Below are 13,401 nucleotides of genomic sequence, written 5' to 3' on the forward strand. Positions count from 1 at the left end.
GACTGGTAAATATCAAGAAAAACTGGGCATGGTGGTGTGGGCCTATAGTCCTAGCTACTCAGGAGGTGGGAAGATTGTTTGAGCCCAGCAGTTTGCAGCCAGCCTGGCAAACATAGTGAGACCCTGTCTCTTTAAAAAGAGAGAGAACGTAAGGAAGTAAAGGTGTTACACCTGTTTTGGCTGTCTGCCATATTCTCTTCCTTTCCTCTGAAAAAGGAGTGGGTGAGGGTAGAATCTGTAGAAGAAAAAATAAATTAACCAGAAAATATGTGTGAAAAAGGGATTAGAAAAGATGTAGGAATCTTGAAAAGTGTTCTGACACACTATGCTTAGTAATGATGATCTTGTTAAAATATCTAGTTTTTTATTGTTACTTTTTTTTTGCTCAGTTGCTAAGAAATATGCTGACCATAATTTCTAAACAGAAAAATCTCTGCACACAATATGCTAGGACAGACAATGGGACAGAATATATAAATTTAGGAATGTCCCAGAGAATCAGTAGTGTACCAAAAGAGGGATCCTAGCCCTTCAAATAATTCTCTGCAGTAAGAAAGACTGCTCTGCTCACTTCTACATTACACTTTCTTAATGATTTGTTTTCCTAGTAATTGTTGTTTATCTTTGAATCTAGTTCTTGACACTTAGGAAGAAACCTTTTTGAGGAAATTAAAAGCTGTTAGATTGGTATTTGAAATAACGAATTTGACAAGATGTCTAAGTTAAACCTAAGTTAAACAATATCCAGATAAGGCTGTGAAGACTATAATATCTGGCATGTTCCTCATGGAGCAGTGAAATTCCATGCCAAAGCCACTTACATTACTATACTGTGGGTCAAAACATGTCTACAGATTTTAAGGGACCGTGTTTCCTTGCATAGAACTTTCCTGGAGTAGCACTGGATACTTAGTTGGTGCCTAGCAAATGTGATGACTAAAGAATATAATGCATCACAGATATTATCCTGATCACCATTTCTTGGCTAAAATGTTGTAGTGGAATTCTGGTGGCTGTTAATTCTTTCTCATTCAGGAGATAGCAGGCAAAATTGGGTGGGCCCTGGGAAGGAGTGTAGCTGGGCTATTTAACATCTGAGAATATAGGATGTGTGTTTATGAAAGTAAACTCAGCTTCTAATGGTAAAAAAAAAAAAAATCAATTAGGATCAACTAAAGGAATAGCATACAATTTTTCTTCTCTTGAGGTATGTAACTTTTTTGGATTGTCTCTGATCCCCTTCTCTTGGTAAGGTCTGCACAATTCTTTCAGCTCACTTTGTCAGCAGACTTCCCACTAGGTAGTGCATATACCCCAAATTATTCGTTTGGTAGAGCTTTTCTTTACCATTCTCAGTATCACATGGAAGAAAGTCAACCATTGTACCTGCTAAGCTATTTGAAGAGGTGCTTTAAATAGCATGTTAAACTGGCCTGATATTTAATTGGGTTTTTAAGACACAGCAAGTAGACTTCTGTATTTGGGTGTGCTATTTGAAGAATGGGTCAATCTGACCTTCTAGCCTTTCATAAATATGCTCTTAGTGTAAGAATGGAACACTGGTATGCTTGTTCAGTTGTGGGTAAGGCTGTTTATGGGGTGGTGAGTTACTCAAGCATAACATCATTCTTTAACATAAGACTTTTTACTTAAAGATACTTTCTGCATTTCAGCCACTTTATTTCCTTTCCATTCCTTCTCTTCCCAATCCTACTTTTTACTTAGGTGTAGTATTCCTTGTAGATGTAGATTTGAAGAAAGGTGAAAGCACAGTAATTAAGACTTAATGTTTGGAAGAAATTATGATGATAGGAATTAATAGAAACAGAACAACTTTGTAGTCTTCCTTTTCGTCTTACCCAGATTATCATATTTGCCTTAAATGAGTGAGTCCAACCCAATCAGAAGGCTGTTGTTGAGATCTGGAGAGAAAACTTGTGATATCCAAAAGTTGCTTTTGGCAGCAGTGTTTATATTTTCAACGTGAGGGTGAACAATGCTCCAGGAGATACTTCACCAAGAGAAAACAGAGCTACTAGCTGTGAAGATAATCAGTGGAGCTAGCAGGTCTGGAGGAAACTGGCAGAGCAGATGTATTCCACAGCATCAGTTGTAACACACATTCTCTTCAGGCTGTAATTTGGGGTGGAAGAAAAGACCAGGTTTTCATGCATCTTTGTATTGCTGGGACACCTTATAAGTGGTGAGAATGTCAAACAGCTGCAAGAATACACAGTCCATTCATCCTTGCCATGGCTTGGGTTAACTACATTCTACCCACTTCAAATATGGACCATATTCATTATTTGAGAGATGGGGAGGTAGGGGCACTGCACTGGTTAGTAAGCTGCTAAGCTGCTTGCAACACAGTCCAGTATTTTTAGATGGGAAAGATTTTGCTTAGGTTTAGGCTACTGATGAGCTTTATTAATATAAGGGGAAATTATGACTATTCGGTTTTTAAGTTGCTGAAGAAACACATTTCTCTCTTGCCACAGCCACCTTTCTATATGAAAAACTGCAAGTGTTATTGCAGTTCCCTCCCCCACCCTCACCCTCCATGTACCTGGTATCTGGGAACATGCCCAGAACCCTTTGAAAAAAGGCGAACAGGGGAAGGAATCATAGCAGAGGGGAGAGTAGCTTCCAAATAGAATAGGCTGCATATGCCAGCAGCAGGGAGGCTGGTGGAGGAAGGGCTGCCTCTGGAGAGTGTTAAGAGGGGTTGATGGTCTCTTGACTGTGTATTTTTTTCCATCATCAAAATAACAGCATATTGAGTTGGAAGTCATTACCTTGGTCCTGGATTAATTTCTTCAGCAAAACTAGCTTTACTGACTGTAGAAATCAGTTTCCAATTTGTTTATATTAGCTGCTTGTGCCTAGGCTGCCCGCTTAAACCTGATTGCTGCACTGCAATCTGGTGCTCCCCTAGCTGAAGGGTACATGTGAAAGAGGAGGAGAAGCTTTTGCAGCTGTAACTAATGGGTAGTTTACTGTTCCTGGCTTTAAAGTGGCTGTAACCATGTTGCCAGTATTATACAGAGAAGATTTTAATCTGTAGTCATTTACATTTCCAGAGTATTTGCTAAAGACTTAGCTTAATGGATTCTCCAAGGGAACCTTTTCAGATTTAGTCAGATCGTGAACAGAATCTCAGTTCACATACTCAAACCATCCTGCTTATTTCAGGGGTGAAGTTTATTTTATTTTGAAGAAAGGGTTTATCAGAGTTTAAACAGGAGTTCGGGAGGAAGGTTTAAACCATGTAATAAAAGTGTTACACACTTTATAAATCTATAAATAATATCAATTGCAAGCTATTTGCTATTGATTAGAGCCAGTTTTATTCTTCAAAGAATTATCTAGTTCTGGCTTATTTCATTTAAGGAAGTTTTTTTTTTGGGTTTTTTTTTTTTTTTTTTGAGACAGAGTCTCACTCTGTCACCCAGGCTGGAGTGCAGTGGCACGATCTCGGCTCACTGCAACCACCACCTCCCGGGTTCAAGCAATTCCCTGCCTCAGGCTCCCAAGTAGCTGGGACTACAGGCACCCGCCACCAAGCCCAGCTAATTTTTGTATTTTTAGTAGAGACGGGGCTTCACCGTCTTGGCCAGGCTGGTCTCCATCTCCTGACCTCGTGATCTACCCAAAGTGTTGGGATTACAGGCGTGAGCCACTGTACCTGGCCCATTTAAGGAAGTTTTTAATACAAAGTTTACCAAGTCATTATTTTCTCCTTCCTTCAGATTAGTCCTAATGAGTTAGAATTTACTATAGTGTATGTGGGTTTTTAATTTTCTTTTTATCATTATATTCTGGTATTTTAAATTTTTAATAGGATAGGAGGTTCTAGAGATATTACATTGGCTTTGTGAAGTATAGACATATGGTTGGGCTCTGAGTATTGGCACCCTAATGCCCATCACCATTTCTAGGCATCTCTTCATAATTCTTTCAGAAAGCAAGACCATTTGCCAACTTTAGGAATGTGCTACAAGGGAATATTCTGAAACAAAAACCAAAAAACCCCAGTAGCACTATGAGATTCTGTTTTCTGAAAGATTTGGGAAGAAGGGTAAAGAGTTTAATCTGTCAGGGTTATAAGAGGGGAAAAAAACTTGATGGAATGTGAGAAAGATTTATAAAATTGAACATATACTAAACGAAATTGGTTCTTAACCTTAGCCCCTCCTCCCAAATCCTGCAGAAACAATTGGGAAGAGACAGTGATTGACGTGTTGGGAGAAGTCAGAGAGTAGCCTCGGCCTTCCCCCATTTCTGGTGGGAAAGTTGCTGGCTTAGTAGGAACCATGTGATTACATGGCTTTTAGGGAAAGACAATGTATCCTTAAAAAAAAAAACATTTCATGGATTTTCCTTATAAGTTTTCAACTTTTTGTCTTCCTTTTGTATAGCAAATCCAGTTTGCTGATGACATGCAGGAGTTCACCAAATTCCCCACCAAAACTGGCCGAAGATCTTTGTCTCGCTCGATCTCACAGTCCTCCACTGACAGCTACAGTTCAGGTAGGTGTGAATGAACTCCATGTCCTCTCTAATCTCTCTTCCCTGTTTGCTACCAGTGCTCTTCACTTAGCAATCTGAAAATACCTCATGTTATGACTGCCCACCTTTGTGCTGAAAACTGTTAGTGGCTGGGCAGTGGGAATGTTCTGCAGCCAAGCTAGTAGCTGGGGAAGCTTTTGTCGACTCGAGACTTTCTTCCCCCTGGCTGTCTGTGTGTGTGGTCTGTGGCCAGTGCCCAGTTGGTAGGACTGGGCTAGTTCCCATTCCCACATTGATCCGCCCATTTCAAAAGGAAGAAATCAATGCTATTTTGGCTGACAGAATTGGACTTAAAAAAGAAGTGCATTTTGAAGCACGATTTCTTTGTGTAAAATATACCCTGTCACCTATCTCTTTCTTTCTTGTCTCCAAGACTGCTTAGATTGTAACAATAAAATTAGTATTTTGGCTTCTCTTATTTATTAGGTTATTCTTTCTGTTGGAATATCCTCCCCTGTTAGACTCTGGAGCAGGAAAGATTCAGACTACTGTAATGTAACTCCAGCTCTGTTTCTTTTTAGTTCTCTCCTCCTGTCTTAACTCTCTGTAAATAAAGTCTTTTTCTGTTTTGTATTGTGTCTTTCCCAACTATAGAGCATGTATTAGAAAATTAGCATGGAAAAGAATATAGAATCTTGGCAGATGAATACAGGAGAAAACATTAGGGACATCTAATGGGGCATCCAATACAACCTTGTCATTGTTTAACTGAAGACTCATTGTTAAAAGATTAAGAGGTTACAGATTGCTATTAATGTCAGCAGAGATATTTGTACCAAAAGCCATTCATTGTCCTTTGCCAGAATACCTTTTGCATTGTATTATCAACATTAAGGATTAACATAAATGAAAAGCTGTTATATATGATCCTGGAGTGACAGATAAAAAGTGGTGTGTGACAAGCAGGCTAACTGTAGCCAAGAAAGAAGAAAAATTAATTGTGAAAAATTGAGTTATGAGAGGAAGAACGATAAAACGACTGAAGAAGGCTTTTAAAAAGTCTTCAAAGATCTTGACGGCCATGTTACAGAAATGTATTAGAGCCTTTTAAAAAGCTTAGTGATATGGTTAAAATGTCATAGTGGGGAAGATAATCTTTAGTAGTATTTGTGTTAGCTGGACAGGAGGAGGACCTGTACATAGAAGTCAGTCAGTGAGAGAGTCCAGGTATACTAGCAGAAACCGTGATGAGGAAAGTACTCAATTCAGAGAGGAAAGAAGTGATTTGAGAGGTAAGGAATGATTGTTGTATATCCTCTTGCATATCTGTCAGATAAGTGGTATTTTTAGCTTTTATGTGAAACCACTTTTTAAAGTTGATCATTTTGACAGACTTTCCCAGGGCTATCAGTAGAACCAGAGCTGTTTGCCTTTTGTGCCATTTCTTTCTTTCTCTATTCCTTGAGCACAACTTAGTGTAAAATCCCTTGTAAGACTATCTTATCACTTTTGTCTATATCCATGGTTCTCAAAGTGTGATCCTCTGACTAGCAGCATCAGCAACACCTGGTAACTTGTTGGAACTACTAATGCTTAGGTGCCACTCCATACCTGCCAGATGGGAAACTGGCCACAGGGTCTAGCAATATATGTTTTAACAAACCTTCCATGTGATCCTGATAGATGCTTGAATTTGAGAACCAGTGATCTATAGAAATAGCATTCCTTATCTGCCCTAAATTATTCTTCTGTTTTTGCCAGGTCTGGTTCCAATCCAGATGGGACCAAGTACCTCTATTATCTGGGATTACTATAGCTGCAGGTTTATAATCAGTGGTCCCTTGTCATAGGCACTAATAGCACAGTATTGTTAGGGTGGGTGAAAGAGCTGCAACATGGAAGTACCCACAACAGTTTCATTCATACCACCTATTAGAACCTAGAGGAGCAGAACTGAGAGCGTTGTAAAAGGTAGCTCCAATTAAGGGTGTTCCCTTAACTTAAATGAAAGTCCCTTGGGGACTGCACTCTGTAGAGTTGGGGACCACTGAGGTTTTTCTATCCTTGTTTTTTTCTTTCCTGGCTCTAGCTGCATCCTACACAGATAGCTCTGATGATGAGGTTTCTCCCCGAGAGAAGCAGCAAACCAACTCCAAGGGCAGCAGCAATTTCTGTGTGAAGAACATCAAGCAGGCAGAATTTGGACGCCGGGAGATTGAGATTGCAGAGCAAGGTAAAGAAAGGGAGTGGGTTAGGGGACCAGAAACAACCCTCTTGTTGGCCATCAGAATCCACAAACAACTTAAGACTTGAAAGCTGACTTGAAAGTGTACTGGGAAGAAAGACAGTATTATGGACTTTCGGATAAACACTTCTCTCTCTATGGAACTTAAGTCTTGGGATTTTGTTCTCTCTTCCTTCTGTTCTCAGCATGTGGTGATTACACACAGAGTAGTTTCTGTTTTCCTCCTTGCCCCACCCCACCACTGTATTCAAAGATCTACATGGCAGAATTGACAAGTCCTAGATCACTACGTGGTAGTTGGTTATATGGGATCTTACTATAGCTGCCAATGGCAGAGACCCAGATTGCCCAGAAGCAGCTGATGAGGAAGGGTTTTAAGGTAAGGATGTGGTGACCTAGAGTCTTGTTTGGTCCTGAGCACCCTCTGCTGGAGCAGAGTAAAAGTGACTGACAGTTAAATCTTGGTTTCTCTACCCCAGCCACTCCCAGTAAGGTCCTCTTTACTCTTGTGTTGTTTACACATTGAAGGCATGTTCTATACTGAGAGAGAATAGAGAAACCAAACAGACTGACAGGACATGGTAAGACAGCATAGAAAAACAGAAGTTAGTGGTTTCGGCTGAGGGTACAGTCTTTCTGGTCTGATGATTATATATAGGAATCTATTAGCCAATGCCTTAACTATTTTCCTCTCTTCCCAAATGAATGATGAGACTCACCCTTCATTTTGATCAGTTTTAAGGATTTACTTCATTCTCTGTTCAGTCCTCTGTGTATAAAGCTGAAGCAGTAGAGGAAGAGAGAAACTCCAAGTGGTTGCATGACTGCTCTCCACTATTACTGTGCCGTTGAAGCTGCCAGTCGTCATGGAAATAGGCTTAAAGTTTTTCTGCCTCATCTCACCATATCTCAACAGATCCAGACCAGCCCTGGGGCAGGAACTGATGATACTGCTAGTGCAGACCTAGCTCAAATCCTCTGTTCTTTCACAGACATGTCTGCTCTGATTTCACTCAGGAAACGTGCTCAGGGGGAGAAGCCCTTGGCTGGTGCTAAAATAGTGGGCTGTACACACATCACAGCCCAGACAGCGGTGAGTTTGTTGGAAGAAAAGAGGGACTTCTGATAAGGGGAAGAAAGAAATCAATTTTTTTTTTTTCACTTTTCCTTTCCTAACTCGCCAACCTCCAAATGCTAACTATTAATAGGATCTCCCTGTTACACAATAATGGGGTTTTCTGGGTTTTTTTTTAATATGTAAACCCACTTTCAGCAAACTTGACCTAGGAAAGTCTAGATTTGCAAACATATGATTGTTATAAAATGTTATAAAGACTTTTAGAAACCTATGTTTTATGCAAAGTTAAATACCAGTGCACCACCTCGCTGGAGTACACCCTTTTGTAACTTTCCAGTGTAGCACCTGTTGGTGCAGAGTTGATAGGTATTGCTATCTTGATGAGGCTTGCTCTCCATTCCTGGGTGGCCCTTCTCTTCCTCACCCTGTCTTCCTACACTTCTACACAGGTGTTGATTGAGACACTCTGTGCCCTGGGGGCTCAGTGCCGCTGGTCTGCTTGTAACATCTACTCAACTCAGAATGAAGTAGCTGCAGCACTGGCTGAGGCTGGTAAGTTCGGTTTTTTCCCACCAACTTTGCCCCAAAATAGTTATCCAAACATATAACTTTTTTGTATCAAAATTGTCATTACAATATCATATATGTCTAGAGGCTATAAAATTGTGCATGATAAAAACCTCAACAGGAAGAAAGTGGATAATAAAATTAAGATGGATATCCATGGTGGAATATTATGTAGTCATTAAAAATGGCCTTTGAAAATAATCTAATGGCATGGGGTCATGCCCAGTTCTAGTGTTAGTTGAACGAGGAAGAATGTTAAACTATATAAGTGCCATCAATTTTGTGAGAGAGCACAAGTAAGAAGTACCTTTCATATTGATAGTGCATTAAATAATTTGGTATTCAGTATGGCATTGAAAATATATGAGCTATTTGTGAGTTTAATTAAACGTAAAATAATTTTTTATTATTCAGGCCAGGCCTGGTGGCCCACGCCTATAATCCCAGCACTTTGGGAGGCCGAGGCGGGCAGATCACTTGAGGCCAAGAGTTCAAGAACGGTCTGGCCAACATGGTGAAACCCCACCTCTACTAAAAATACAAAAGTTAGCCGGGAGTGGTGGTGTGCGCCTGTAATCTCAGCTACTCAGGAGGCTGAGGTAGGAGAACCACTTGAACCTGGGAGGCAGAGGCTGCAGTGAGCCGAGATCATGCCACTGCACTGCAGCCTGGGCGACAGAGTGAAACTCCATCTCAAAAATTAATAACAATAATAATAATTTTTATTATTCAAATATTCAGAAGAAAATCACCGTGAAGTTTCTTTGAGGACCTCTCATCTTTCTTTCTTTTTTTTTTTTTCTTAAGATGGAGTCTTACTCTGTTGCCCAGGCTGGAGTGCAATGGCGCAGTCTCGGCTCACTGCAACCCCTGCCTCCTGGGTTCAAGTGATTCTCATGCCTCAGCCTCCTGAGTAGCTGGGATTGCAGTGGCATGCCACCACACCCAGCTAATTTTTGTATTTTTAGTAGAGATGGGGTTTCACCATGTTGGCCAGGCTGGTCTCGAACTCCTGACCTCAAGTGATCTGCCTGCCTTGGCCTCCCAAAGTGCTGGGATTACAGGCGTGAGACACCACACCCAGCCGGACCTCTCATCTTTTTAAGATCCTCAGAAAGCAACTTTATAATACTTTTGGGTTTTTTTGTTTATTCTTTTCTGATAAGTGTTCACTGCAAAAAATTTAGGAAGTTCCCCAAAACCCTACAATCCCACTACATAGAGTATTTGATTAATGTTTTTCCTTTTCCTTTCTTCTACTTTACATAAATTCTAATATGTATACAGTTTTATAACCTAAATACAATATTTTCAGACGTAGTTTTCCATGTCACTGAAAACTTTGACAGCATCATTTGTAATAGTCATTCATATGGCTATGTGATTTCACCTCACTATTTTCCTAATGGAGAACATTTAGGTTGTTTCAAGATGTTTACTAATATCAATAATGCTCCAGTTAACAACTTTTATTAATTCCCACTTCATTTTATCTCCTTCTAAGTATAAAATTAGTCCAGAGAAAGGAACACTTTAAGGTTCCAAACTACTTTTAAAGCAAAAATTCCTTAATTTCTTAACCTAATTAATTTCTGAACCAAAAGTGATTCTTTGACTTTTGGCTCTGAATTTTTTCCCTTCTGAAATTGTTTCTTTTGCCTTTTTCTCTTCACATGGATCTCAGAAAGTGATTTGGTACAGGACACTCCTCAAAGGAGGAATCAGCTGATTCATTTCTGTCTCTACAGGAGTTGCAGTGTTCGCTTGGAAGGGCGAGTCAGAAGATGACTTCTGGTGGTGTATTGACCGCTGTGTGAACATGGATGGGTGGCAGGCCAACATGGTAATAATGCATATACATCCTACACTTTGACAATAGATTTATTTCCTTTTTTTCCCTCAAAGCATGGTTCCCTAAATATGTTTTGGATGTTTGGTCTTATGCACTGACTTTGTTGCTAAAGTGTTTAGCTTGATACCTATTCAGAATGGGTCTGAGTACTGAATGGAAAGGTGGGGGAAGGGTAAGACTAGCTGAACACATGGCTCAAACACACCAGAACAAAATAGTGGTGCTTCTTTGGAGTAGGATTCTGCTTTCTTTCCTTCCTGCCCCAGTTCTCCTTTTGCATTCAAAGGGGCTATATATTTCAAGACTCTAGACTAAAAATGAGTCTGTGATTAGCTTAATACTCATCACTGTAGCCTAAAGCAAACCTAGGAATCCTTTTAACCATTTTACACCAACAAATTTGACTGTATTTCCACTCTCTAAGCCTGCTCTAGGGAGCTCTGAGGAGTACTCTTCCAAAACATACAGGGCTCTCTTACTAGTACAGAAAGTGGGTTCAAAGTTCCCCCCAGCCCTAGCAGCCTGAATGCCCATAGAAGTCTTCTGGCTGTTCTATAGATCCTGGATGATGGGGGAGACTTAACCCACTGGGTTTATAAGAAGTATCCAAACGTGTTTAAGAAGATCCGAGGCATTGTGGAAGAGAGCGTGACTGGTGTTCACAGGTAACAGATTCTGGAGTAGCTGCCCCTTGTGTCCTTGCCTCAGCAAACTCTCCTGGTCTCTGTTAGGCTTTAGGACTGTGTTTCAGACTTATAACTAAATGGGAATATCTTCATTAGATAAAATTTTGAGTTTTTACTTTTGAAAAATCAAGTTGATCCTAGAAGGAAGTTATTTCAGGTTCTAGTTCATACATTTTTCTCTCCCATTTACTCCATTGAGTGATTCTCAACTAGTGTTGAGGGGCGGGTAGGGAATAAATGTATCTTGAAAAACTGTATTCAATATTGTATTATCATTTTATATTTGAAATATGAAAAACAATCCTATTGTAAAACTACATGTTATACACACTACAAAAAGTAAAACTGGGCAAAATATTCTTGGCTTGTTGGAATACTGAAAAGATATCTGAAAGAGTGTTTCTTGGGGGCACATTGCGCATGCTTACTCACACACACACGGAACCATATCAGAATCATTGATAGTCTTTGTTTATCAGAAGTAGGCATGGGTTTCTATTGAAAAATGCTGATCAAAGGAAATAACACTCCCTATAAAGGGAAGAGAAGTACATTTCTTCAATTGAAAGGCTTTTTTTTTTCTTCCAAAAAAGGGGTAAAGGGAGAAGAAAATGAAAAGAAGTGTGGAGGGATGACAAGGAAATAATCATGTTTTCTAATATCCTTGGGCAATAAATGAGACTGGGAAGGGCAGCATGGAACTTGAAGAGAATTAGGCAGATTTTGCCACAAATTATGTTGTGCCAGCTAACTTGGTTTTTGTTTGTTTTTGTGACCTCTTCTCTCTTTAGGCTGTATCAGCTCTCCAAAGCTGGGAAGCTCTGTGTTCCGGCCATGAACGTCAATGATTCTGTTACCAAACAGAAGTTTGATAACTTGTACTGCTGCCGAGAATCCATTTTGGATGGGTAGGTTGAATGTATATATATTCAAACTTCTAGGGGCTCTGGTCTTCCTTTGGCTTTAAAAGTTTATTAGAGGGACCATTTCATACTGAGCTCAACCAGCTTCCAATTGATATTCTCATGGGCATTGGCCCACACTTTTAACTTTGTGAAGAGGGACTGAGTTTGAGCTATTAACGTTTGAGTTGAGCCCTTGTCTGTTTCCACAGCCTGAAGAGGACCACAGATGTGATGTTTGGTGGGAAACAAGTGGTGGTGTGTGGCTATGGTGAGGTAAATAGCTGGGTCTCAGTGTCTCTTTCTTTTTGTGTACTTATTAGAAATATTGGGTAAAGGAGGCTTGTGCTGTCAATCTAGAGTCACTGATACAAGGTTTAAATTTTTTTAGATAATGTATCTCAAACAATAGCAAAAGCCTTTTATTCAGATTTATGAATAGAAACATACAAAATGAATTGAGTTTTCAGATTTTACCATTTTGCCTTGTGGAATAGATACTAGTATCATCTTCCCCAATTATAACAATAACCTTTAATGAGACTTAATTCAAGTGAATATATAGCATTTTAGCCCCACAAGTGACTTGCAGTAGAATTAAGGGTGGAATCTGAAATGGCATATAGTTGAATATCTCCAAACTGGAATAGGTCACATATTTTGTTGTCTTCAGCAATGACCCAAAGAAGTTCCTGAGCTACGAGGGTATCCTTGAGTAGATTCTTCTCAAGTAAGAGAATAGGAAATTAGAGGTTGCTTAGAGTAAGTTGCTTTTGCTTAGTCTTGTTTCCCTGATGAAAACTGCTATGCAAAGCCCCAGTCCTTCCTATGACATGTCTGCTAAATTACCTCTCTAACTGAGGTTCACAACGTAATCTGGGTCTGTTTCTGTTCTGCTTGGGATTGGAGCGTCTGTGCAGCTGCTCACCAGATGACAGGCTATTTCATGAAGGTTAATTCCTGTCTCACAAATAACCTACCTACCCTAAATATCCATGACTTAATGAACCTAACGACTTGACCTTTCTTTTGTTCTGCAGGTAGGCAAGGGCTGCTGTGCTGCTCTCAAAGCTCTTGGAGCAATTGTCTACATTACCGAAATCGACCCCATCTGTGCTCTGCAGGCCTGGTAAGAACAGAGTGATAATACTATTAGATTCACTCTAGGTGCTTTATGTTATTGAGAGTTCATAATTGAGTATATTAATCATTTTTGCAGAAATCACCTAGGGGAAGAGAAGGCTAGGACTGCTCTGTTCTTCTCACTCTAACCCTAGGGCTCTCTGAGAGCCTCTTGGCATTTTTCCTTCCTAGAGGGAGTCTTGGGGACTCTGAAGAGGCCAGTGTATATAGTTTAGCAGAGCTTATCACTCACCATTCCTGTGAGGTGGCACTGGATCCAACTAGAAGGGGATCTTGTCTCATTTCATGACCATCTTCCCTCCCACTGCCTTCTTGCTTTACTCATAGTGTTCCTTTCTTTTCTTCCAGCATGGATGGGTTCAGGGTGGTAAAGCTAAATGAAGTCATCCGGCAAGTCGATGTCGTAATAACTTGCACAG

General features: G+C 40.0%; 1 protein-coding gene across 7 annotated transcripts in view, besides 1 other annotated feature; it reads left to right on the forward strand.

Annotated features, from left to right (window-relative positions):
* Positions 1–13,401, forward strand: part of AHCYL1 (adenosylhomocysteinase like 1) — a 38,978-nt gene that overhangs the window by 19,851 nt on the left and 5,726 nt on the right. For all 7 annotated transcript variants that reach the window (NM_001242673.2, NM_006621.7, XM_011540535.3 and 4 more), the window contains 10 exons: positions 4,419–4,530; positions 6,599–6,742; positions 7,747–7,847; positions 8,282–8,384; positions 10,148–10,242; positions 10,810–10,916; positions 11,729–11,845; positions 12,052–12,115; positions 12,880–12,968; positions 13,331–13,401. In NM_001242673.2, the coding sequence (NP_001229602.1) occupies positions 4,440–4,530; positions 6,599–6,742; positions 7,747–7,847; positions 8,282–8,384; positions 10,148–10,242; positions 10,810–10,916; positions 11,729–11,845; positions 12,052–12,115; positions 12,880–12,968; positions 13,331–13,401 (982 nt within the window). In that variant the 5' untranslated portion in view covers positions 4,419–4,439. The remainder of the gene's footprint in view (positions 1–4,418; positions 4,531–6,598; positions 6,743–7,746; positions 7,848–8,281; positions 8,385–10,147; positions 10,243–10,809; positions 10,917–11,728; positions 11,846–12,051; positions 12,116–12,879; positions 12,969–13,330) is intronic.
* Positions 7,829–7,878: an enhancer, noted in NCBI's record as "active region_1458". NCBI's record gives its function as "activates an Ori minimal core promoter by ATAC-STARR-seq in GM12878 lymphoblastoid cells {active_cell/tissue: GM12878}" and the evidence as "EXISTENCE:reporter gene assay evidence [ECO:0000049][PMID:35858748]".

Source organism: Homo sapiens, chromosome 1, assembly GCF_000001405.40.
Source record: "Homo sapiens chromosome 1, GRCh38.p14 Primary Assembly".
In the NCBI taxonomy this organism is placed as follows: domain Eukaryota; kingdom Metazoa; phylum Chordata; class Mammalia; order Primates; family Hominidae; genus Homo; species Homo sapiens.